Source organism: Homo sapiens, chromosome 11 (genome assembly GCF_000001405.40).
Source record: "Homo sapiens chromosome 11, GRCh38.p14 Primary Assembly".
In the NCBI taxonomy this organism is placed as follows: domain Eukaryota; kingdom Metazoa; phylum Chordata; class Mammalia; order Primates; family Hominidae; genus Homo; species Homo sapiens.
In genome coordinates this window covers 228,039-253,313 of record NC_000011.10, presented here as the reverse complement: position 1 = coordinate 253,313, position 25,275 = coordinate 228,039, and the positions used below count along the sequence as shown (strand labels likewise).

Sequence of the window (25,275 nt, the reverse complement as noted above, 5' to 3'; positions counted from 1 at the left end):
GCACTGGGGCACACCAGGTCACAGATGCTGGTGGCTATTTGAATGATGAGTGGTGACAAGGATGTGGATGGATGCCTGTGTCGGGGCAGGTACCTGAGAGGGCTGGAGAAGGGAGTGGATACCCCTAGGTCTCTCTTGACTAACAATAAAGATAGGACCAGCGTCTTCGTTAGTCCTTGGTGCTGGATTCTGCCCGTCTACTGTATGTGCAGGGAGGAGAAGGGCCAAGGCTACCCCCACCGTGTCTTCCCAAGGTTCCAACTCATGCTTTTTAACCTCCAGGCACAGGCTTGGCCTGGAAGCTAAGCCCAAGAAAACAGAGCCACAAGAAGAACAAAGCAGAGGGGTTTATTATAGGAACATTCTCAAACCGCAACGGAAAAGATGTCCGTACAGGTGGATGGGGATGGAGATCCACCTCGGAGTACACAGACTTCAGGGGGCCTCCTGCCTGGCACGTTCTTTCTCTCCCGTATCACCTAAGACCCTGAGACCCCCACCCTCTGCAGGAGAGACCCACAAAGAAGCCTCCTCCCTGTGGCCTGGCTCCCATCAGGGACAGTCCTGTTTTTAGAGCAAGAACAGTCTGTACTTCAGACAGGATCCCAACCCCCACCCAAATTCAATGTCGACCGTCTGAGCAGCCAGCTTCATTGGCTGCAAACGCCTCTCTCAGGTGAGTCAAAGGAGACACGACGGGGAACCAGGGGGCCCTAGGTGAGGATGTCATGGGCCTGGTGCTCCACCAGCATCTCCATGCTCTTCACATCCGTGCACCAGAACTCCAGGCGGTCCTTCATTCCCTTGATCTGAAATGGAAATCCGGACACAAGGGACGTTAAGACACGCAGGAGACACAGGCCGAGCGGCCGGCACAGCACCTGATGGGGTGACTCTACATCTCCAGCTAACTCTCTAGGGCAGCTCTAGTAAAAAGGACCTCTGAGCTGGGGGAGTGGGACGGGACTTGCCGGGTTAATTCTTTTCACAGGAACGTTAGAAAAAACTTGCATGAAAGAAAGCAGACAAGGACAGAGGAAATCCACAGGATCGCATTTCCAGCAAATGTAAGAGCGACGTGAGCTCAAATCACAGAACCAGGAACGTATCTGATCAGAGCTCCTATCTTAAGATTAAAAGGCACCGTCAGCACAACCAGTGCCATTGTCATCATAAGCTTTTAAATGCAGGGTTCAAACCCTAGGCTTGCATTAAATTAGGCTCTTAGAAAAACCCAACAGCAGTATTTCCTTCTCCAAAACCTCTTGTCTAATAATGCTGTCTTCCCAAATGGCTTCCATCCAAATGAAACTAAGACGGTATAGACACAACCCCTCAAAATCCACAGAGGTGAATAATGGGTTTCAAACACATCACCTGTTGCAAATCCAACACTCGGGGCTGCACCCAGGTCATGTGGACTCGTTTGTCCACCTCGTCTATACTGCCTTTCACCAGCCCCACCGAAAGGGCCTTCATCACCAGAAGCTCCACCTGTGCAGAGAGGGAGGCGTGTGTAAGACAAGATAGCCTGACACACCCCCATGGACCCAGATGGCTTGTGAGAAGCAGATGCCGCTCCTCCCGTCATTTTTTACTGTCTAGGGAGCACAGCGCTCACACAAGAGCCTTGACTCCTCCATGTGGCAGCTTTGCTGCTCTAACACCCTGAGCCTAGGGACCGTACCTCATTCACTGTGATTTTAGCACTTTTGGCAATTTCTTCAAAAGTGAGTTGTCTGTGATTGGCAGGTCGTGTGAAAGTCATCTGGAAAAAATTTTATTAACTATTTTAAACTATTTTTCCAAATAAAAATAGAGAACTGATAAGGATGTTTTGTCAATATTGGCTCTGAAAATAGAGATCTTATTAGTACCCCACATACTAAAAAGTTTCCTAATATTAGACATATATCTTGTTAAGAACAAGCTTTTAATGCTTAGATAAGAAGGATAACAGCAAAATGCCTTACAGGAGTTTCTGACAGTAGCCATTGTTCAATCCCCGAACAAGTACTTGAGGCCACAATTTGCCAGGGTTGACCAGGGGTGACCACGGCAAACCAGAAATCTAAGGGCCACTTCCTGACGAAGCTTAAGTTCTAGTGGGGAAAGACAGATGTGCGTGTACACAAGAAGCGACATGCAATGAGGCAACAACTGCATCACGGGGAGAGGGGCAGCTACTTCATCTCAGTTCAGATGGTCAGGGAAGGCCTCAGGGTGGTGGCAGTGGGGTGGGAGGGTGTCGTCTGAGCTAAGAGCCAAATATAAACTTAGAAGAGCAAGTGGTAGCAAAGGAAAAGGAAGGTGGTGAAGAGAGCGGCGCACAGCAGAAGCAGCACCACTGAAAGCTCACACTGCTCAGCACAGGCTTGGAGAGTGCAGCGCCCCCACCTGACCAAAATCTGAAACCACAGACAAAGTGGCTCCTGGGTGTTCGCTTACCTCCATGAGGCACAACAACTGAATTTTCCTCAGAAGCTGGGCTTCATTAGCTGCTAAATCAGGCTGTAAAGTATAGAAAGACAGAAAAATGTCTTCCATGTTTGTGCTTATCAGTTACTTAACTGGGGATCTGGAATTCGTTCTATAACAGTAGACCCAACAAAAACCAGCTAAGCAGATCCAAACATTTCACATTGCAGACTGCTGAAGCTCATTAACAACAAGTGATCTGAGCTTCATTCTTCTTAGGAAATGGAAAGAGTCGCACCTAACTGGGACACTTTGTCAAGGCAAGGAATTTACAAGGTAAGATTTGTATTAATGCTACAGACACCATTAGGCAGGGCCACAGGGTACGGGCATTTCGAGAAGACTCTCCTGGTCAAGGTGCTGTTGGGAAGGATACACCCTACTGCCCAGGGGGGTTCTTTCAAGGGCTGCTGCCGGCTCAGTGAGCCAGTGCAAGTGGAGCCCCTCTGAGGAAAAGCTTCCTTAAGTTCTAGAGACTTGTTCTGAATCAAAAGAGCAAGTTATTAATTTATAATGAAAAATATCATTGTCCTGAGAACTAGAATATACGCTTCTGCAAGATATGCATCATCTCTTCTTATGGATCAAAACGTTACCTGTGAGCACAGAATTAAACCAAGGAGACTTGTTGTTTTAATTCAAATAGCAACTCATATCCTGACACAGGTAGCCCCGATGGGGACATTTCTGCCACAAGTACTGGACAGGTCAAGCTCTGTAAAGGGCTCACTACCCCTCCAGACAGGCTTTGCTGCCTGAATAGATGCTGCCAACATGCATCTACGATTTTTTTTTTTTCTTTAAATTGCTATAACTAGCCATCTTCCTTTCTGAGTGTCACCTTTTTTTGAGATATCAATAAATAATCAGACCACAGTTAGGTCTGGCTGCATCTGTGCTTTCTGCCTCTTCACAGTGCCTTCATCTATATCTACCCTGCTCCACTATGCATGAATTTTACAAGTTTATTTTAAACTGAGAAAATTGAAAGTTTCAGAAAAATACAAAAATAACCATAATTCCTACCACAGTTAACATTTTATTAATATTTACTTCTAATAATCTCATTAAAAAAGAACATACTTATCATTAAAGCTCAAGCCCTTGTTGAGCACCTTTCCCTAACTCCCACCTTCCAGAGACAACTTCACCCAGTGCCTGCCCTCCCCTTGCACTGAGGTGAATTGGCTGTTCTCCCTGCATGGACCTCTCCCTCTCCCCGCACCCGCCGCTCTCCCCCTCCCCGCACCCGCCGCTCTCCCCCTCCCCGCACCCGCCGCTCTCCCCCTCCCTGCACCCACCGCTCTCCCATTCTCTTCACCAGGCATTTGTTCCTCCTTCATCCCATGCTCTCTCCCACCCACTCATGTTAGCCTCACACATCCCTCTTTCAGTTCAGCAAAGATACTAAACTTTTCCGTTTTCTCCGCTGAGTGCACTCTTCCCGTACCTCTTCACTCATTCCTAAGGTCACACAGACCTTAGGTCACTATGACTTCTACATCTTCTGTGACACCCCCTCCACCCAGCGTAGATGCAGGGCCCACATTCGATTCTGTTTTCTCAGAACACCCTCACTCTTTGTCTGCAGCACTGAGTAATGCTGTAGCTAACCAACCACTTAACTCTCTGCTCTATGAGAGCAAGGACTAGCCTATCTTGGTCTCCTCTTTGCCCTGTTCTTTCCTGTGTGCCTAGGGAAGACGCTCAATGAACATCTGTTGTATGAGCGAGTAGATACATGGGGGAATAAGGGCTGGGCATCGTGGGAGTCCTACCTGCTGGCCCCAGGCAGTCTTCAGAGTCTGGAACCGCTCTACGTTGCCACTGTTGAAGGCATAGAGGGTGTCAATCAGCCACTGCCGGTCAGTATTCCTCAGGGACTCCAGCACAGGGTGCATGAGCTGTGAGGATGGAGATGGTCAGCTAGTAACACTTTAGTCTCTCTCGTTAAGGAAGCTGAGCTCAGGGTCAACTTACGAGTTCTCCAAAGTTAAAAACTCCCTCGCCGAGAAGTCCTGCTAGCCCCAGCGTGAAGGCTCTCTCCTGCTGCTCAGACACTATGGTAGCAACACAGGCCCACTTACAATCCAGTCATAATAATCAGTCCTGTTTAGCTTTAAAAATCTCATATAACAAAAAGTAAAAAAACATTGTTTGTAATGGTTGTTATTACAAAGCCTTGACATTAGTCACCTCTTCTGAAGTATTGGGTTGACTTAGATTATACCAAGAACCATATATACATGGGTTTTTTGGGAGGAGCATTCATTTATTTTTTCCTAAATATATGTGAATCTATTCATATTTTCAGCTGTGCCACTTCCAGGAAGTGCCTTAAATCTCTTTTCTGCTATGGCAAGGAATAAATTTAAGTTACCTAACCTAGCTTCTTTTCAGACCAGAACTAACTTACTTTCTGTTCCTAGACAGCAAGTCTATTGTTCTCTTGACCACCTTAGTTCCTTTTCCGATATATTTTTCTTGACATACAGTAATAAAAACTGCATCAACACTGTTAAGAGTTGCTGGTCTCCTTAGCTTCAACAGTGTTTTGTGAGAAACATCTAAAATATGCTGAAAATTTATTTTCTGAACATATATTCCTTACACTTTTTCCAAAACTCACAGGTCATTTTCTTTCCACTCTCAAATCCTTGAAAGATTTAATAATTTGTCCCCATGGGTCTGGAATTTCAGTTTTCAAAACAAGGGTCTCAGCTACAGGGATTTCACGTGCCCTTTATTCTGCAGCAGAGGGGTGGGCGGGGAGGGCTCAGAAGGTGTTGGCGTCATGGTGCTTCCTACAAATACCTGTGGCTTAGGTAACAGTGAGGGACTGGAGAAGGGACAGTGAAGGAGCGAGGAGGAATTAGCCTCATTTTCATGTAAATTAAATGCTGGAGACAAATATAATGTAGAAACTAAAGGTTACACAAATCTTCCCATTTTTTTCTTCAAAACAGGATGAATCCATCTGAGTAATTTCTTTTTTGTTTGGATGAGATGGAGTCTCGCTCTGTCACCCAGGCTGGGGTGCAGTGGTACAATCTTGGCTCACTGCAACCTCCACCTCCCGAGTTCAAGTGATTCTCCTGCCTCAGACTCCTGAGTAACTGGGATTACAGGCACCCACCATCACACCTGGCTAGTTTTTTGTATTTTTAGTAGAGACAGGGTTTCACCATGTTGGCCAGGCTGGTCTCGAACTCCTGACCTCAGGTGATCCACTCACTTCAGCCTTCCAAAGTGCTGGGATTACAGGCGTGAGCCACCGTGCCCAGCCCCACCTTAGTAATTTCTGAGAACTGTCACCTCAAGCAACTCACAGATGCTAAGTTTGGAGAATATGCTCCTGTGTGACATGGATTTAATGGCCTAGGTTACCTGGTAGATCCTTGATGTCAACACAGCCCAAAAACCGCAGAGCATCTTTGTAGTAGGACGCGTGGTTTCCGATTGTTTGATAGTATTTACTGGAGAGATCATAGAAACGACTGTGAACCGATGTCACACCAGGAAGGTTGTTGAGCATTTCTTCAACATCTTCAATTGTTTCCTATACACAGGAAGGAAAATCATCTCTCTTTTTAAGTTAAAAGTTTATTTTATTTTTTTAGAGACAGGGTCTCACTCTGTTGCCTAGGGTGGTCTTGAACTCCTGGCCTCAAGTGATCCTCCCACCTCAGCCTCTGTAGTAGCTGGGATTACAGGTTCAAGCCACTGTGCTTGGCTAAGATTTTTAAAGTAATATATTGTGAGATGAAAAGCATCAACTACCAAGGCAAAGACTGATGAATGTGACCGCGTTAAAATGGAAAACTTAATCCAAAACACAGAAAAAAGTACAAAGACAAGCTACAGACTGGGAAACAATATTTACAACATTTATAACCCACCAGCAATTATGACCAAGGAAATATAAAAACACTTACAAATGAGTCAGGAGACAAGCAACACAGTAGAAAAATGGGCAAAAGACATTAACAGGCAATTGACAAATTTGGGGACACAAACAGAATGGCCAATAAACCACTAGTAATTGTGAAATGCAAATTAAACCCCCAACAAGATATAATTTCACTTCTATTAGATCAGCAAGAGTTAGAGCCTGAAACTATCAGGTGTTGAAGACATGGAGCTTCCAGAGTACTCATATGGTGCTGAGGGAGCATGTATCTGGGAAAGGCAGAGATGCACACAGCTTGTACCTGTAGTCTCTAGGCATACATCTTGGTGAGATTCTGCCCACACACAAGGGACCAGGCACAGAAATACTTATGGCAGTACTGTTTGTGATAGTAAAAAAAACAACCTAAATCTCCCTTTTTTTTTGAGACAGAGTCTCGCTCTGTTGCCCAAGCTGTAGTGCAGTGGTGCGATCTCGGCTCACTGCAACCTCCGCCTTGCAGGCTGAAGCAATTCGCTGCCTCAGCCTCCCGAGTGGCTGGGACTACAGGCGCCCGCCACCATGCCCGGCTAATTTTTGTGGTTTTAGTAGAGACGGGGTTTTACCATCTTGGCTGGGTTGGTCTTGAACTCCTGACCTTGTGATCCACCTGCCTCAGCCTCCCAAAGTGCTGGGATTACAGGTGTGACCATCGCACCTGGCCCTAAATCTCTTCAATAGGAGACTGGATACATATGTTGTGAAACACTTATACAATGAAATACCGTATAGGAGTAACAGCACATTGGTTACACATACCCACATGACTCTGAAACCTAGTATTGAGCCAATGTTAAAACGCTTGAGTTACACACCCCTATTTAATGAAGGACAAGGAAATGCATGGGCATGAGAGGGAGCCTGGCTGGGGGAGAAGTGTGGTCTGAAGGGTACTGGGACCCTGACTGTGCCGTGTGGCTTCATTCCTTCCTAAGCTGGTTGGGGCACATGGATGCCTATTACAGCATTCTGTACTGTGACTTATAGCTTTCAATATGTCTTAAAATATTTGAAAATAAAATGCACTAAGTATGCATATGGGTTAGGACTGACAATAAACAATAAAAAGTATCTTTTCAGGGCAATGAGGACATGAACACTTTAACCCTTACCCCCAATATTTTCTTTAACATTGTGATTAGCAAACACACACACACACAAACACACACACACAAACACACACAAACACACGAACACACATGCAAACACACACACACACACACACACACACACACACACACACACGTTCTGGTTCAACCAGGTGGACCAGCCACATGTCGGTTTCACTGCCACCCACATCCATACCTGTCTCCCAACTGCACCAAAACATAATTGAACATAAGAAAGACATAAAAATAGACAGGATACTTCAACAACATTTAGGAGGCAGAAGGAAGATGGAGAAATAGCACGTGACATGCCAGTGGTGTGTAGGCTGACCTTGGTCAGGGAGAACCAATGTGCTTTGGGCTGACTGAGGCCATGTGGAGTCATTATTAGACGGATGTGCTGTGGTCACACAGGGGAGTGCTCTTTTGTTTAAGGGCAACAGGCATTGTATCAGCAACTTACTCCTAAGTGGTTTTGGAAAAAAGCTACAGACACACACAAAGGCAAAAGCGGTAAAAGGTTAGCAATCGGGGGGGCTGGGCGCAGCGGCTCACGGCTGTAATCCCAGCACTTTGGGAGGCTGAGGCAGAGGGATCACTTGAGGTCAGGAGTTCCAGACCAGCCTGGCCAACATGGCGAAACCCTGTCTCTACTAAAAATACAAAAAAATTAGCCGGGCAGGGAGGCACGCGCCTGTAATTCCAGCTACTCAGGAGGTTGAGGCAGGAGAATTGCTTGAACCCGTGAGGCGGAGGTTGCGGTGGGCCGAGATTGCACCATTGCACTCCAGCCTGGGAAACAGAGCGAGACTCCGTCTTTAAAAAAAAAAAAAAAAAAAGGTTTGCAATGGGAAATTTAGGTTGGGGTATAGTAGTTCTTTGTGTTATTTTTGCAACTTTTCTGTAATGTAAAAATGTTTTAAAATAAACAGTAAAGAAGAAAAATAGGTTATTTTTTTTCCTAGGGTTTTAAATAATTTTAAACCAAAGATAAATCTGTATTATGGTGATCTCACCTTTGTAACCTGTAGGTCCCCGATGTTTAATTTTAGAGCTCCAATTGCTGTTTTACACAGGATCACTGCCTCATCACTACTTTTCACCTAAGACATCAAAAACAAAAACAAGAAACCTCAGAATGTGGGCAGTTGACTAACAAAGGAAGCTAGCTACTTGTACATTAACTTAACCTTGATGACTAGAGGCCTTGTGGTCTCTAAAGGTCTGGACAGTGAGCATGAACACAAGCTGTTAAGTCATACATACTCTAAAAGGTACTAAAAGGTATTGCCCACATGCCACATTTACCTTCTCACGAGTCTTTTCCAGAAAAGTAAGAGCCACATTAGGATCTGGAAAAGAAGGAACAATCAGAAGGACCATCAACAGACTGGTTTCTGCTAACCAAGACACCCTTAGGTAGGGTAATCTTTAGGTTTTGACCATAAAGTATAATAAAAACATAATATCTGATACAGAAAACACAAAAGTTCAGTTAACTTATATTTCAATTTTAACCACCATTTGGATCTGCTCCTTTATAAAACAAAGTGAGACTTACCAGTCATCTGTCTAACTACATGAAGAATGATTTCCACGAGGGACAAAGGGTTCACCCTGAAATAAAAGCCACCAGCCTTTGAGCACCGCCGAGCATCAATGCACTCATTTTCAAAGTGAAAAACGGATGAGAGGCTTTTACCTGTGTTCAAATTCACTGATAAAGTTTTCATAAAGCTGTGAAACCAAAACATGGAGAGAAATTATAGGATGTCTTTTATTCTGCAAAACGAAGACCCCAAACACTATCTTTGGTAAAGAAGCTGCATCAATGCTATCAAGTTGGGAGTGTGCAAGCCACAGTGCCCAGCACACAGTAAGCAATGCATGTTTGCAGAATGATAGGAGACCATATCAGGGCTTACTTACATTCACATAAATGATCAACAGATTACTAAGGAATATTAGGTTTCTTCTAGTTTTGGGAATTAGAGTACTGACCTATAAGAACCTCCAGACAGATTCCTATATTCTTTCTTCCAGGTACTGTAAGCTAAATAGACTATCAGATTGAAACGCTCCCTCAGTTCTCTCCCTGTGGCTTCCGGGCTGTTGGTATTTGGACCCTTGTGAAGATGGCCTGCGCTGCCGTGTGGTCCCCAGCCTACCAGGACAGGTTTATTTGTATCTATCCTGCTTATTTAAATAATAAGAAGACCACTGTGGAAGGAAGGTGAATCCCATAAGTAAGGCTGTTGAAAATCCTACAGCCAGAGATTCAAGATCTATGTTCAGGTTTATTTGTATCTGTCCTACTCATTTAAATAATAAGACCATTGTGGAAGGAAGGTGAATCCCCATAAGTAAGACTGTTGAAAATCCTACAGCTAGAGATTCAAGATCTATGTTTAGCAGTTGGACTTAATGCATTTCTTGAGAAAAATAAAATGTTCTCTAGAGAATGGAATCGTGATGTTCAATATAAAAGCAGAATCTGGGCCCAGCTCAAACAGGAAAATGGCAGCCTCTATCTTGTACATTTCCCACCACGTTAAGTCAGTAATGTTGTGTGCAGCATAAATGATACCTAAATTAAAAACAAGGACACAAAAAAACAGGAGGTGGTGACCAAAGTCTTCAACAAGGAGAGGGAAGTAAAAAAAGGGAAAGAAAAAGACGTAACCATCCGGGCGCAGTGGCTCACGCCTGTAATCCCAGCACTTTGGGAGGCAGAGGTGGGTGGATCATGAGGTCAAGAGATTGGAACCATCCTGGTCAACATGGTGAAACCCCGTCTCTACTAAAAATACAAAAATCAGCTGGGCATGGTGGCGCGCGCCTGTAGTCCCAGCTACTTGGGAGGCTGAGGCAGAAGAATCGCTTGAACCAGGGAGGCAGAGGTTGCTGTGAGCTGAGATTGTGCCATTGCATTCCAGCCTAGGCAACAAGAGTGAAACTCCATCTCAAAAAAAAAAGAGAAAAAGAAAAAGACATAATGTAGTATCAGGATCAAGTATGCGGTACTACTGTAAGAGACCTGAATGGAGGCTTCTAATTTGTATCAAAGGAAAACAGAAGCTTTTCGTTTGCATCATTTAACTGAACTGTGAACGCTTGTGCCTCCCATCTTTATCATCGGAGTTGACAGTGAAAAAAATTTATATCAGAAGTTTGCATCTCAATTTTATGGAGTATAAAAGATTTTTTTTGACATTCAACGCAGTTTTTTTGGAAGAAAGAATATCTTAAAATGGACAATGGACTGTACAATAAGTTACTTGAAATCTTATATCTATCTTCTGTGTAAACATGTTTCAGATGAATTTCAATTAGATTTGAAATACACATTTTGTTCACCTATTAAGTTAATGAAATAAAATTTAAAACAAAAAGAGAAATGTTTGCTAATCAAACAGAATGGAGTTCCTTCAGATTTTAATTAAAGCTAATTATGCACCGTTTTCAAATTTCTTAGCCATTCAGCACACTTGAGCACTTCCTCAGACTCCATACTAGATACTACAACATAGAACGTGTAAGACAAATGATGTGTCTTCAAGGAGCTCCTGGTCCACTGAAGACAGTCTTTAAACAAATAAATGACAATACAGTGAGTTTAAGAGCAAAAAGAAAGAAAGAAAAAAAAAGGGGCAGAAGTGCATCAGCCAAAGGGAGAGGCTTCAAAGGTTACTGTAGAAGTGGCAATACTGAGTTTCAAGGAATGAAGGGCGGTTAGAGAGGTGGCCATTTGGTGTGGGAGGGGAAGAAGCTGAGAGAAGAACATTCCAGACAGTAACAAACATGTGCAAAAGCACTGAAGAAAAAAATACATTATGTTTCAGGGGCATTTCTGAGGGACACAGACTAGGAAGCACTGAAGATTGGTCTCTGTCCAGAGTGCAAGGCCGAACCAGAGGACACACATGATCATTTCTATTTTAGAAACACGCCTGGGGCAGAGAGGACAGCAGGTGAAAGAGACTGAGAGAGAACAGTCAGAGGCTAGTACTGGCCAAGACAGGAGAGTGAGGGAGCAACCGTAATGAGGATGGATGAATAATTTGAGAGAGATTTAGGGGTAACGAACCAGACTCACTCAGATGTGGGCCGGTCACAGAGAAGGAGAGCTGACAATAACCCCTGAGTTAGGGGTAACTGGGCCAAGAGCGCCTAGTGTGGGCACAGTAGGAGAGGGAACCTCCAAATGACCTTAACTTTGGATTAGGAGAGCCTGTAGTTCCTCTGGGATATGAAGGTAGAAGGATGAAAACACCCCTGTAGCAATTACATATTCCAATCAGGCACACAAGAAACAGTCAACTAAATAAAATGGCATTTTTGTCCCGGTGCTGTGGCTCACGTCTGTTATGTAGCACTTTGGGAGGCCGAGGCTGGTGGATCACGTGAGGACAGGAGTTCAAGACCAGCCTGGCCAACATGGTGAAATGCCATCTCTACTAAAACTACAAAAATTAGCCAGGTGTGGTGGCACACGCTTGTAATCCCAGCTACTTGGGAGGCTGAGGCATGAGAATGGCTTGAACTGGGGAGACGGAGGTTGCAGCGAGCTGAGATCTGCCATTGCACTCCAGCCTGGGCGACAGTGCGAGACTCTGTCCCTTTGCCCACCCAAAATAAATAAAATGGTGGCCAGGTGGTGGTTCACACCTGTAATCCCAGCACTTTGGGAGGCCAAGGCGGGTGGATCGCCTGAGGTTAGGAGTTTGAGACCAGCCTGGTCAACATGATGAAACCCTGTCTCTACTAAAAATACAAAAATTATCCAGGCGTGGTGGCGGGTGCCTGTAATCCCAGCTACTCTGGAGGCTGTGGCAGGAGAATCACTGGAACCCGGGAGGAGGAGGATGTAGTGAGCTGAGACTGTGCCATTGCACTCCAGCCTGGGTGATAAGAATGAAACTCCGTCTCAAAAAATAATAATAATAAATAAATAAAATGGCATTTTTATTACAAAAGACTATTTCAAAGATATCTTCCTTATTAGAAGGAAATGTTTGAACTTTCCTGACATGTATTAATCTAAAAAATTACCTTAAAAAAGAAGCCCACTAAGTCCAGAAAGTCAAAATTACTTCTGGTGACTATAAATTCAAAAATACTATCCATTTTACACTTATGCTAGCTGGATCCCAACAAATTTTAAAGGTTTATTCTGTCTATGGGAAAAGTAAACTCAGATCTGCCAACCTAAATAAACATCACCTTACCATGAGGTTGAGGAAATATTTTGTCATGTGTAGAAAAGTGATTTAAAGATAAGAAACCAAAGGACAGAGATAAACAATTATGAATCATCTATCGTGATGATTTAGAACCTTAGGGAACAAGTATTAAGACAGGTCTCAGGCCAGGCACAGTGGCTCCTGCCTATAATCCCAGCACTCTGGGAGGCCAAGGCAGGCAGATCACCTGAGGTCAGGAGTCTGAGACCAGCCTGGCCAACACTGGTGAAACCCCATCTCTACTAAGAAATACAAAAATCAGCTGGCTGTGGTGGTGGGCACCTGTAATCCCAGCTACTTGGGACGCTGAGGCAGAAGAATCGCTTGAACTCGGGAGGTGGAAGTTGCAGTGAGCCAAGATCGCACCATTGCACTCCAGCCCGGGCAACAAGAGCGAAACTCCGTCAAAAAAAAAAAAAAAAAAAAAAAAAAAGCAGGTCTCATTTATCATTTTCCCACATAATCCAGAAGACTGAATGTTCAGCAAAATCTCCAGGCTTACAGATGATTGTAAGTTCCTCTGAATAGTAAAATGTCAAATTGATGGCTATAAACCACAAGAAAATCTTACAAGCCCAGGTGGTGGGGTAGCAAGGTGGTAAGCTCTATTGCGAGCATATAAAAGTAATGTATTCAGGAGAAATGACTCAAAATGTAATTATAAGCTATCAGTTGCAATGCTGGTATGAATCTCTGATTCATTCAGAATCAGAGAAAGCCATCATAGAGTAAGATGTCAGGAAAAACTTCAAAGAGGAGGCTACCAGTGAGCAAATTCGTGGGGATGTGTCAGGGGATCTGGGGAAGGCTGGGAAAGAAGGTGCGTATTTGTCTACTGCTGAAAAAATTCTAAAAGTCCTCTATTACAGAGGCAGCATGACACTATACAGGACTCTCCCTCCAATCCACCTACCCTCAACCGAAGTACAAAAGGTGTTTTATTTTCCACACTACCCAGGACAGAAGTGTCTGGGCAAGCAAGCAGTGCGGCTTAAAGAAGGGGAGTGATGGAAGTTATCTAAGATTCCCACAGATAGTAATCTTCCTCATACCTTACTCCACCCTCTAACTGGGTTTGAACTTTGTTTCTAAAACTAGAGTACTAAAAAGAAGCCTATGAACTAAGATACTTAGGCATGTTGTAAGATAATACTTTATGCTAGAATTTCAAAAAAAGCCAGAATGTCAGTGTTTGAATCCTCTTCTGCCACTTATCAGCAGTGATCTATGGTAAGTTACTTAAAGTCTTATGTTTGCTTCTACATCAAAAAAGTGAGATAGTAGTATCTACTGACCAGCGTTGTCATGAAGGATATGTGAAGCGCTCAGACCAGTACCTGACGTAAAGTGACTGCTGAATATTGGAGCTTATTATTATTATTAGCATAAAGCCTATCTTATTTTCAAAAGTCCTTGAGCACATTCATATAATCTAATCTGGTATAGCAAATTATTTACCTTAATGAGACCATCTCCTTGGGCAAAGCACGGATCCTGCACAAAATCAAGCACCTGAAGTGTCAGCTGATGCCACAACCTGAAAAACATACAGCCCTTAAGACCTCTAACCTAATATCCAGTCACAGACACCTCCAGCCTTGATGATTCTATCAAGTCACAAATACAGGTTGGGTATCTCTAATCCAAAACTCCAAAACTCCAAAATTCAAAATGCTCCAAAATCCAAAACTTTTTGAGCACCAACATAGGGCTCAAAGGAAATGACCACTGGAGCATCTCAGATTTCAGATTTTTGATTTATGGATACTGAACGGGTAAGTATATATCGCAAATATTTCAAAATTTGAAAAAATACTAAATCCAAAAAAACTTTTGCCCCAATGCATTTCTTTCTTTCTTTTTTGAGACAGAGTCTGACTCTGTTGCCCAGGCTGTAGTGCAGTGGCGCCATCTCGGCTCACTGCAACCTCTGCCTCCCAGGATCAAGTGATTCTCCTGCCTCAGCCTCCCGAGTAGCAGGGATTACAGGCATGAGCCACTGCGCCCGGCCGCCCCAATGCATTTCTGATAAGGGATACTAAATCCATACTAACCAGTCTCTACGGTGTAGCAGAAAGAATGCTAAAGCAGATGTGATAAACCTGAGTTCTTTTCCTGGCTCTGCTATTGAATGGCTATGTCACTTTGAGATCACTTAACTTCTCTAAGACTCAGTTTTCCCAGGTATGAAATGGAGAACATTAATCTAGATTAACTCAAAGGGTTATTGTGAGGTTTCACTGGAAACGAGAACTTTGGAATCATACATATCTAACTTGAGATGCTGGCTCTTCTACCTATTAGCTGAGTATCTCAGGGAAGGCAATTAAAATGAGCTTCAGTTTCCTCCTCTGTGAAAAGGATGAATAAAGGATTAAATAAGCTAATATTTAAAACCTCAGGGACAGTGACATAGCGCTTCATCCAAAACCCAAAGGCTAATATTTAATAACGCAGATAAAATGCTTTGAAAATTACCAAGTGCTATCCAACACAAACCATTATTTGCCAAACATTAATTTGCTCTCAAAAACTGCTAATAGCAGAAGGCTGCTGAATGCTAAACATCATCAAAACATGTATGGAACATCTATGTGAAAGGTATTATATTAAATGCTAGGGTTAACAGGGAGGTTACTACAGGAGATGTATTTTCTATGGAATAGCTCCAGCCCAATGCCAGCAATTTATTCTACTCATATTAAAAGGAGGTTAGTGCTTAGCAAGAATTTAATTGCTCTGCAATTCATCCTGTTTCTAAACAAACCTAAACTTTAAGATCTTTCTAGGGGCAGAAAGCCCATGAGAAATACAATGGAAGGTAAAGACAATGGGACGGCGGAAGTGGTTGCACCCCGTGCAACCAGCTGCAGAATGAATAGGGAAAACAGCAAAGCTGTACTAGCCTCTGGTTTATCAACTCCAGACCATGAGAAAGATAACTGTAGATACAGTTACACTATGACAAGGCTAAGCACGAATCACCAACATGTTTCCCAAAGTGGGTGGTGGCCCTGAAAGTGTGTTTGCTTGTTAGATGGAATCAAGAGCTAAAATCAAAGGCTACTCCTGAACCGTTTTAGTAAGACCCGAGGTAGGAGTTCAGAAGCCTCAGTCTCAGTCCCCCGTTAAGGAAGCAGTGAATCTCAGACCGAAACATCCTGGCTACAGCTCTTGGCCCTCGTGGTCTGTCATCCCTCTTATTCCTCGACCCTGCCACTCAAGGTTCCTCAGCAAACCTTGCCGGCACAGCCGGTCGCTACACGTCCCCGTTTCCCCCCAACTTGGGTCTGGGCGCCCTCAGCCCATCAAGGGTCCGCTCCTCCGCCCGCCTGCCCCCTCCGTCTCCCTCTATCGCCGGGGCCCAGGGCCCGTCTGCTCGGCGCTCACTTCTTCGTGTAGAGCTCCTCCAGACGGTGCCACACAGCGGGCTGCCCGGGCCCGGAGTTCTGGCTCTGCTGTAGGAAGCCCGGTACGTCCTTCATGACAGCAGGAAGACCCCCGGCACAGAAGAACAACCGGGATGTCAGCACCGCGGGGATGGCTGCCGGAAATGCTCACTCACTTCCGGCGCCGAGCGGCGCGGGGCAGGCTGGGAGCGCCGTAGCAGGCCGGGGGCGGGCCCCGCTGGTTGCTCGGTTACAGCGCGTCTCTGCGCTCCGGACAAAACTCTCCGGCGTTTGCAGCCCACTTCCCGCGCACTTGGCTGTGCCATTGAGGCGTCAAAGAGTGTGGGCGCCTGTGGTCGAACCCGCTACGGACTAGCTTTGTGGTGTCAGCCTTTGTGACCCGGAATTGCTCCTGTCAAATGAGGATCTTCCCAGTAGTGTTTTGCGAGGATTAGGTGTAAATATAATGCCTGACCATAGTAAAAGCGCTCAGAAAGTATTAACTATCACCGCCATCCGGGTTGAAAAAGGTGTGAGCGCAGGGTACAGAAATGCTGGCTCCAGGTTTGACCTCCGGGGCGAGAGATGAGACACCAGACTAGGGAACTTCCTCTACTCGCCTCTACGTCTACCTGGGCGCGCCGGAGGCGTCGGCAAGGAGGCGGGGGCGGGGCGCGGAGGCGGGACCGGGGCGCCGGGGGCGGGGGCGGTAGGCGGAGGCGGGGCTGGGGCGCCGGGGGCGGGGGTGGGAGGCGGAGGCGGGGCCGGGGCGCCGGGGGCGGGGCGAGTCCGGAGGACTCCTTGGACTGCGCGGAACATGGCGTTCTGGGGTTGGCGCGCCGCGGCAGCCCTCCGGCTGTGGGGCCGGGTAGTTGAACGGGTCGAGGCCGGGGGAGGCGTGGGGCCGTTTCAGGCCTGCGGCTGTCGGCTGGTGCTTGGCGGCAGGGACGATGTGAGTGCGGGGCTGAGAGGCAGCCATGGGGCCCGCGGTGAGCCCTTGGACCCGGCGCGCCCCTTGCAGAGGCCTCCCAGACCCGAGGTGCCCAGGGCATTCCGGAGGCAGCCGAGGGCAGCAGCTCCCAGTTTCTTCTTTTCGAGGTATTTTGGGCAAGGACAAGCACTTCTTGCGTGTTCGTTGTCGACACCTCGCCCACTCTTTCTCACCTTGCCGTGTTTCCTTTGCGGCATGTCTGGGAGTTTACGTGCGTTCCAACACCGGGGCCTCCGTCTTTATGCTGATCTGTGGACGTCACTTATGGGGGTTTTGTCGTTTATTTCACCATTCCCTCATTGAAATACGTTCTAACCTTTAGTTATTGTGCATCATGCTGTGGTGAATAACCTTGTTGGCACCTCACTGTTTGCATAAATTCCTAGTACTGGGATTGCTAGGTCCAAAAGTATATGCATTTAACGCTTTAATGATCCCTCATAAATGTTGTGCGGTTAATACTCCCACTGGCATGTGATCGTACCCGTCTCCATAGTAATTGCATCTAAGAACTGAGGCTACATAGGAAAAAATCTTAAGGTCCATGGTTGTTAGGTATCAGATGCCCTATAATGGATGAATATTTAAGTAAATAATGGCACATTGACTTGCTGTCTGACACAACTGCTGAAAATGTTGGTGAAAAGTGAGTCTCGAAGTGGTAGCTCACACTTGTAATACCAGCACTTTCGGAGGCTGAGACGGGGATCGCTCGAGGCCAGGAGTTCAAGAGCAGCCTGGGCAACATAACGAGACCCCCATCTCTACCAAAAATTTAAAAATTAGCCGGGCATGGTGGCGCAAGCCTGTTGTCCCAGTTACTCCTGAGACTAAGGCAAGAGGATCCCTTGAGTCCAGGAGTTCAAGGCTGCAGTGAGCTATGATTGAGCCACTGCACTCCAGCCTGGGTGACAGAGCAAGACTCTTATCTACCTGTGGGAAAAAAAAAAGAAAAAAGTTTAATAGATCCTGAAGAGTTGGCCGGGCGCGGTAGCTCACGCCTGTAATCCCAGCACTTTGGGAGGATGAGACGGGTGGATAACGAGGTCAGGAGTTCGAGACCAGCTGGGCCAACATGGTGAAACCCCATTTCTACTGAAATTACAAAAATTAGCCGGGCGTGGTGGCGGGCGCCTGTAATCCTAGCTACTCAGGAGGCGGAGGCAGGAGAATCACTTGAACCCGGAAGGCAGAGGTTGCAGTGAGCCGAGATGGCACCATTGCACTCCAGCCCGGGCGAAAGAGCAAAAACTCCGTCTCAAAAAAAAACAAAGATCCCGAAGAGTCAGTCGTTCATCCAAGAAGCCCTGACTGAGCTCTTATTCTGTGCCAGACTCTGTTCTAGGTGCTATGGATGGAGCAGGGACCAGGACCTACAAACACGTGGAGCGCATTCTAATATCTGTGATACTCTGCAAAACTGTTAAAACAAATCCTTGCGGCCGGGCGCGGTGGCTCACGCCTGTAATTCCAGCACTTTGGAAGGCCGAGACGGGCGGATCACGAGGTCAGGAGATCGAGACCATCCTGGCTAACACAGTGAAACCCCGTCTTTACTAAAAATACAAGGAAATTAGCCAGGCGTGGTGGCGGGTGCCTGTAGTCCCAGCTACTCGGGAGGCTGAGGCAGGAGAATGGCGTGAACCTGGGAGGCGGAGCTTGCAGTGAGCCGAGATCGCGACACTGCACTCCAGCCTGGGCAACAGAGCGAGACTCCGTCTCAAAACAAAACAAAACAAAACAAAACAAAAATCCTTGCTACCACTGGCCCTAAAGCAGGAGGCATAGGGCTGCGTGTGAGGAGTAGTCCATTGCATGGGCTTCCTCCAGTTTGGCTTTGGATTTTTGAGCTCTCTGAATTTGTTGTTTGTGTCCTTTGCACAGTGTCCCTCCCAGGTTGCACCCATGCCTGCCCCTCAGGGTCCCCCACTCCCAGTGAATTTCACACCATGCAGCATGTACTTTAAGCCATACATCTTACGTATGTTCCAGACATTTGGTAAAACGCCGTTTATGTGTTTTTCAGTGACTCACAAACATTTTATTTACGTAAATGAGGAATGTACTCAGGCACCCTTCGTGATACCTTGCCCTCAGCAGGCACTCAACAGCAATAATAACTTTCATTCCTTTTGTGCTTCTCTTAACAGTTCGTGTTTAGTAGGAGCACAGTAGCTGTTTGGGGAACGACCTTAAGTGAATAGATGTCTGAAATGCTGTGTGAAGTGGGGCGCTTAATAGGTGGTGAGATGGTTTTAGAACCAGGGTTTTCCCTCTTTGCTTCTTGACTCCTTAACCAGTTTTCATTAGGAGACCCCTTTGGAGGTTTGCAGTCAGTCAGAGTTGAGTGCCTACTGAGTGTACTGAATTATGAAATGAGCACAGTTCCCATTAACCTGAATTTTTTGCTCCCAAGTAAGTCTTGATTTCTGATTTATGACTGCTTTTTGTTGTACCCCAATAGTCGTCTAAGAAAGGTGATTATTTTGAGAGGCCTGGGGAGACACACATGCTCATTCTCGAGGGTGGCGGTGGTGCAGAGGGCAGAGCCATGCTCGTTCTTGCTATCCTGAGATTGGTTGCTATCTGTTTCCTTTGCTGCTGTGTTTTTTTCTGTCAGTATTAAAGGTGGAAGAAGGTCCATATCTTTTTCTGTGGGTGCTTCAAGTGTTGTTGGAAGTGGAGGCAGCAGTGACAAGGGGAAGCTTTCCCTGCAGGATGTAGCTGAGCTGATTCGGGCCAGAGCCTGCCAGAGGGTGGTGGTCATGGTGGGGGCCGGCATCAGCACACCCAGTGGCATTCCAGACTTCAGGTACTGCCCACAGTCCCACCTGCCTTCTGCGCTCCCCTCCCCTGACTCCTGCCCTCCCCACTGCCCAGTTTATTCCACTTCCCTGTCCTCTTCCAAAGGCCTCAGAGCCTTTCTTCTCTCCCTGCAGATCGCCGGGGAGTGGCCTGTACAGCAACCTCCAGCAGTACGATCTCCCGTACCCCGAGGCCATTTTTGAACTCCCATTCTTCTTTCACAACCCCAAGCCCTTTTTCACTTTGGCCAAGGAGCTGTACCCTGGAAACTACAAGCCCAACGTCACTCACTACTTTCTCCGGCTGCTTCATGACAAGGGGCTGCTTCTGCGGCTCTACACGCAGAACATCGATGGGCTTGAGAGAGGTGAGCCCTCTGTGAGTCGCACACATTCTTTTTCTCCCACGGAGGCTCGGGTGCCTGTTTCTCCCAGGGAGGCTCGGGTGCCTGTTTCTCACAGGGGATGCTCGGGTGCCTGTTTCTGGGGACGGCCAAAACCTATCGCTTATGCTTCTTCCTTGGGACTTTTTTTGAGCCAACTAGTTAGGGCTTTGTTCCCAAGGAAAATGTCCTCTGGGTGTTTAAAGGCCACTGCTTGTTCTCCTGCATACCTGCAGAGCTGTGTATTTTGGGCAGAAGTTGACATTGTTTTGCCAATCTGGTGTGATGATCTCTTTTTTTCTTCTCTCTTTTAAGAAGTGTATTATGGAATTTTTTTGAGCACACACAAAGAGAGCAATGTAACGAACCGTCCTGTCCTCATCACCAGCACACAGCCAGTTCTTCCTGCGTCCTCACCACCTTCTTCCAAATCCCCAGATTATTTTGAAGCAAATCTCTCACATCATGAATTTAATCTAGAAATAATCTATAAACACATGAATGGATAGCTCTAGAGAATACTTTAAAAACAACTCCGGCCGGGTGCCGGATTACAGGTGTGGGATCACACCTGTAATCCCAGCATTTTGGGAGGCCGAGGCAGGTAGATCACCTGAGGTCGGGAGTTCGAGACCAGCCTGGCCAACGTGGCAAAACCCCGTCTCTACTAAAAATACAAAAAATTAGCCAGGCGTGGTGGTGTGTGCCTGTAATCCCAGGTACTCGGGAGGCTGAGACAGGAGAATCTCTTGAACCCAGCAGGCGGAGGTTGCAGTGAGCCGAGATCGTGCCACTTCACTCCAGCCTGGGCGACAGAGGGAGATTCTGTCTCAAAAAAATAAATAAAAATAAAAATAATTAAAAAATAAAAACAACTCTGATAGTGATTCACACTGAAGAATCACTAGTAATTCCTTAATATGGTCACACTTAGTCTGTGGTGATTTCTTGACCGTATCCATATGGTGCCCAAACCAGCGATTCACAGGTTGTGCCAACTTCTGGCCGTGCACCTAACGGAAGCACTTGGTGGGGCCTTTTCCTTACGTGCAGTGATGCAGACAGGTGCTGGGACAGTCAGCTCTCCGGGAGCCAGGCTCCCGGAGAGACTGCTGATGTGTTGTCAGTTAAAAAGAGGTGGCACCTTGGCTCCAGGAATGTGTTTCCTTGCCAGAAGGATCCCCTGACTTGGAACCACAGAGGCAGCAGCGGATGCCCCATGTTGGTGGGCTCTTCTCCCAGAGGTGCAGCAGGGCAGGCCTTGTGGGAAGGTGGGAGCTCCTGGCTGTGAGATTCAGCACTGCTGAGTTAGGGCAGCGACAGGGACTTGGGAAGCCTCCTGCAGCTGGGACCCTGGCTGTGCCACCGCAGCCTTTCAGAACCAGTTAATACTAACACAACTTTCATAAGAAGTCACTTTTTGTCTGTTTCTACCAAGCAATTCTTTTGGAATTTATGATATTTATATCCTCATTTTAACTTGGTATCTGTAGAATAGAAGATATGTTCCTGGATATTAGATATAAATTTTTGAGACAGGGTCTTGGCTCTGTTGCCCAGGCTAGAGTGCAGTGGCATGATCATAGCTCACTATAGCCTGAACTCTTGGGCCGAAGTGATCCTTTTGCCTCAGCCTCTGGAATAGCTGGGACTACGGGCATGCACTACCATGCCTGGCTAATTAAAAAAATTTTTTAAGACAAGTCTCACTATGTTGCTGAGGCTGGTCTCAAACTCCTGGCCTCAAGTGATCCTCCTGCCTTGGCCTTCCAAAGCACTGGGATTACAGGCATGAGCCACTGCACCCAGCCTGGTATTAGGTGTAATTTTTTTTTTTTTTTTTGAGACAGAATCTCGCTCTCTTACCCAAACTGGAGTGCGGTGGCACGACCTCAGCTCACTGCAACTTCCACCTCCCGGGTTCAAGCGATTCTCCTGTCTCAGCCTCCCCGAGTAGCTGGCACTACAGGTGCCTGCCACCACATCTGGCTAATTTTTGTATTTTTAGTAGAGGTACGGTTTCACCATGATGGCCAGGCCGGTCTTGAACTCCTAGCCTCAAATGATCTGCCCACCTCGGCCTCCCAAAGTGCTGGGATTACAGGTGTGGGCCACTGTGCCCGGCTGGATATAATTTTATTTGAGCTTTTATCAAATGGTTTTTCGTACTGAGTTTTGACAGGCTTTGTTTTAACCGTGATTTGGCTCCAGCTAGGTGCCCCTTTGCTCCCCTGCCTTATTCTGGTTGATGGCGCATGTAGGTGATACGGGCATGAAAACCAGGCTTGAGGACATCACAACCCCAAGGGGCTGTGCCTCCTTCCAGGAGTCCTGCCAAGCCCAGAAGTTGTGCTCTTGGCCTTGCGTGCTCATCTCGGAGGCGGCAGCAACACTTCGCTTTGGCTTGAATTTCAGTGTCGGGCATCCCTGCCTCAAAGCTGGTTGAAGCTCATGGAACCTTTGCCTCTGCCACCTGCACAGTCTGCCAAAGACCCTTCCCAGGGGAGGACATTCGGGTGAGTTATCCTGCTGTTGGTTGTCCTTCTGCAGTTTGCTGTTGGGGTGATCTGGAAAAGTGGTATTTTATAAGCATTGTCTCGAAAGGACAGTTGAACAATAATAGTGTGAAACATTTTATTTGTAAATTAGAAAATCAATACATGCTTGTAAAAAAATTTAAGACAATATAGAAATATGTAGGGAAAATGAATCTCCCTTCAGCCAATTCCAGCTGCCCACTTTTTTTTTTTTTTTTTGAGATTGAGTCTCACTCTGTCGCCCAGGCTGGAGTGCAGTGGGCGATCTCGGCTCACTGCAACCTCCGTCTCCCGGATTCAAGGAATTCTTCTGCCTCAGCCTCCTAAGTAGCTGGGATTACAGGCGTGAGCCACCACGCCCGGCAATCAGATGGCCTTTTGTGCCGAGCTTATTTCCTGAAAATGTTTCTCGCTCCTTCGCCTTGTAGCTTGTGTTAGTATTTCATCCTGTTTCATGGCTAAATGTTCCACTGATGTATGCACCACAGTTGGTTTGTTTGTACATGGATGGGTGTTTGGGTTGTCCCACCTTTCTGCTCTTGTGTATAGTTCTGCTGTGGAGCATATGCAAGTATTCGTTTGAGAGTCCTTGTTTTTTATTCTTTTGAGTATGATACCTACAAGTATTGCTGGGTAACTCCACGTTTAGCTATATTTATTTATTTATTTTTTGAGACACAGTCTTACACTGTCACCCAGGCTGGAGTGCAATGGCGCGATTTCGGCTCAATACAACCTCTGCCTCCCGGGTTCAAGCGATTCTCCTGCCTCAGCCTCCTGAGAAGCTGGGATTACAGGTGCCTGCCACCATGCCCAGCTAATGTTTTTTGTATTTCTAGTAGAGATGGGGTTTCACCATGTTGGCCAGGCTGCTCTTGCATTCCTGACCTCAGGTGGTTCACCCGCCTCGGCCTCCCAAAGTGCTAAGATTACAGGCGTGAGCCACCATGCCCTGCCCATGTTTAACTTTTTTGTTTGTTTGTTTTGAGACGGAGTCTAGCTCTTATCACCAGGCTGGAGTGCAGTGGCGCAATCTCGGCTCACTGTACCATCCGCCTCCTGGGTTCAAGCGATTCTCCTGCCTCAGCTTCCTGAGTAGCTGGGACTACAGGCACACACCACCACGCCCGGCTAATTTTTGTATTTAGTAGAGTAGTTTCACCATGTTGGCCAGGATGTCTCGATCTCTTGACCTCGTGATCCGCCTGCCTCTTTCTCCCAAAGTGTGGGATTACAGGCGAGAGCCACTGCGCCCGGCCCGTTTTAACTTTTTGAGGAACGAATATACTGTTATCTGCAGAAGCTGGACCATTTTACATTCCACCAACAGTGGGCAAGGGTTTCATCTTTTCCACATCCCAACACTTACTTTCCATTTTTTAATTACAGCTATCCCAGTGGGTGGGAGGTGGTAACCCACTGTAGCACTGATTGGCATTTTCCTAATGATTCATGATATCAAACATCTTTCCATGTGCTTTTTGGCCATTTGTATATCTTTGGAGATTGAAGTCCTTTGCGCATTGTTTAATTGTGTTGTCTTTTTTATTGTTAAGAGAGTCCTTTATATATTCTGGAAGCTAGATCCTTATCAGAGACATGATTTGCAAATATTTTCTGTCATTCTGTAGGTTGTCTTTTTTACTTTGTTGATGTCTTTTGATGCATAGAAGTTTTGATTTTGATGAAATCTAGTTTGTCTATTTATTTTCTCACTCTTTTGGAATCATATCTGAGAAATGGTATTGTTTTACTCCTGTTTTCTTATAAGAGTTTTATAGTTTAAAGCTTTTACATTTAGTTCTTTGATCCATTTTGAGTTAATTTTTGTGTGCGCTGTAAGGTAGGGATCCAGCTTCATTTTCTTTTATGTGGATATGTAATTGTTCCAGCACCATTTGTTTAAAAAAACTGTGGTCTTGGCATTGTTGTTGAAAATCAGTTGGCCATAGGTGTATGGGTTATTTCTAGAGTCTCAATTCTATTCCATTGTTATCTGTATATCCTTGTGCCTGCACTATAATGTTTTGGTTACTGTAGCTTTGTAGTAAGTTTTGAAATTAGGAAGTGTGAGTCCAGCACATAGTAGAAACTTGATATATACGTATTATTGTTTTGGTCAACTCATTCATTGAATGACCAATTTATTCAACAAATAGTTTAGTCTCCTCAGTGCCAGGCCCTTTGCTGGGTTCTGTGGATGTGAATAGAAATTAAAATAAGGTGGAGTCATCCAACAGTTACAACTGGGTGCCATACGAATTTTACTATAAATATGTACTGGACACTACACTGACTCAGCTGTAGGAACAGAGTAGGCTGGGAAGCACCTTTGAGATGAGGCCGTCTGGATGTAAGAGTCTGTTTCTGGCAGCAGAGACCTGGAGTGTGG

The 25,275-nt window shown here is 46.0% G+C and overlaps 2 protein-coding genes and 1 pseudogene across 41 annotated transcripts in view, besides 3 other annotated features; 2 read left to right on the top strand and 1 right to left on the bottom strand.

The window, feature by feature from the left end:
* Window positions 1-329: 329 nt before the first annotated feature.
* On the bottom strand, window positions 330-16,338 carry PSMD13 (proteasome 26S subunit, non-ATPase 13). Of its 3 annotated transcripts, NM_002817.4 has the most exons (13): window positions 16,170-16,338; window positions 14,238-14,316; window positions 9,239-9,273; window positions 9,098-9,153; window positions 8,845-8,888; window positions 8,553-8,639; window positions 5,866-6,037; window positions 4,459-4,538; window positions 4,257-4,382; window positions 2,449-2,511; window positions 1,688-1,768; window positions 1,378-1,494; window positions 330-809 (listed from the first exon to the last, which is right to left on the bottom strand). In NM_002817.4, exons 1-13 carry the CDS (start codon window positions 16,262-16,264, stop codon window positions 714-716), a joined length of 1,131 nt encoding a protein of 376 aa, NP_002808.3. In that variant the 5' UTR covers window positions 16,265-16,338; the 3' UTR covers window positions 330-713. The 3 variants fall into 3 exon arrangements, with proteins under 3 accessions (NP_002808.3, XP_011518537.1, NP_787128.2); XM_011520235.4 differs by lacking the exons at window positions 1,378-1,494; window positions 1,688-1,768; NM_175932.3 differs by lacking the exon at window positions 14,238-14,316 and having other exon boundaries at window positions 9,098-9,273.
* Window positions 9,625-10,923, top strand: LOC100420679 (signal recognition particle 19kDa pseudogene; annotated as a pseudogene).
* Window positions 16,087-16,326: an enhancer, noted in NCBI's record as "active region_4256". NCBI's record gives its function as "activates an Ori minimal core promoter by ATAC-STARR-seq in GM12878 lymphoblastoid cells {active_cell/tissue: GM12878}" and the evidence as "EXISTENCE:reporter gene assay evidence [ECO:0000049][PMID:35858748]".
* The window catches only part of SIRT3 (sirtuin 3), a 21,902-nt gene continuing 13,009 nt past the window's right edge, over window positions 16,383-25,275 (top strand). For 5 of the 38 annotated variants that reach the window (NR_163397.1, NR_163395.1, NM_001370325.1 and 2 more), the window contains exons 1-4: window positions 16,972-17,120; window positions 19,780-19,971; window positions 20,099-20,331; window positions 22,762-22,862. Coding sequence is in view for 19 of the 38 variants with exons in the window: in NM_001370325.1 (NP_001357254.1) it covers window positions 19,925-19,971; window positions 20,099-20,331; window positions 22,762-22,862 (381 nt within the window). In the remaining 19 variants the exon portion in view is untranslated. Of the gene's footprint in view, window positions 16,699-16,971; window positions 17,267-17,759; window positions 19,575-19,779; window positions 19,972-20,098; window positions 20,332-22,607; window positions 22,863-25,275 lie in introns of those variants that run through there. The other 33 variants (NR_163402.1, NR_163399.1, NM_001370314.1 and 30 more) reach the window with 19 other exon arrangements.
* Window positions 16,487-16,676: an enhancer, noted in NCBI's record as "active region_4255". NCBI's record gives its function as "activates an Ori minimal core promoter by ATAC-STARR-seq in GM12878 lymphoblastoid cells {active_cell/tissue: GM12878}" and the evidence as "EXISTENCE:reporter gene assay evidence [ECO:0000049][PMID:35858748]".
* Window positions 16,827-16,906: a silencer, noted in NCBI's record as "silent region_2989". NCBI's record gives its function as "represses an Ori minimal core promoter by ATAC-STARR-seq in GM12878 lymphoblastoid cells {active_cell/tissue: GM12878}" and the evidence as "EXISTENCE:reporter gene assay evidence [ECO:0000049][PMID:35858748]".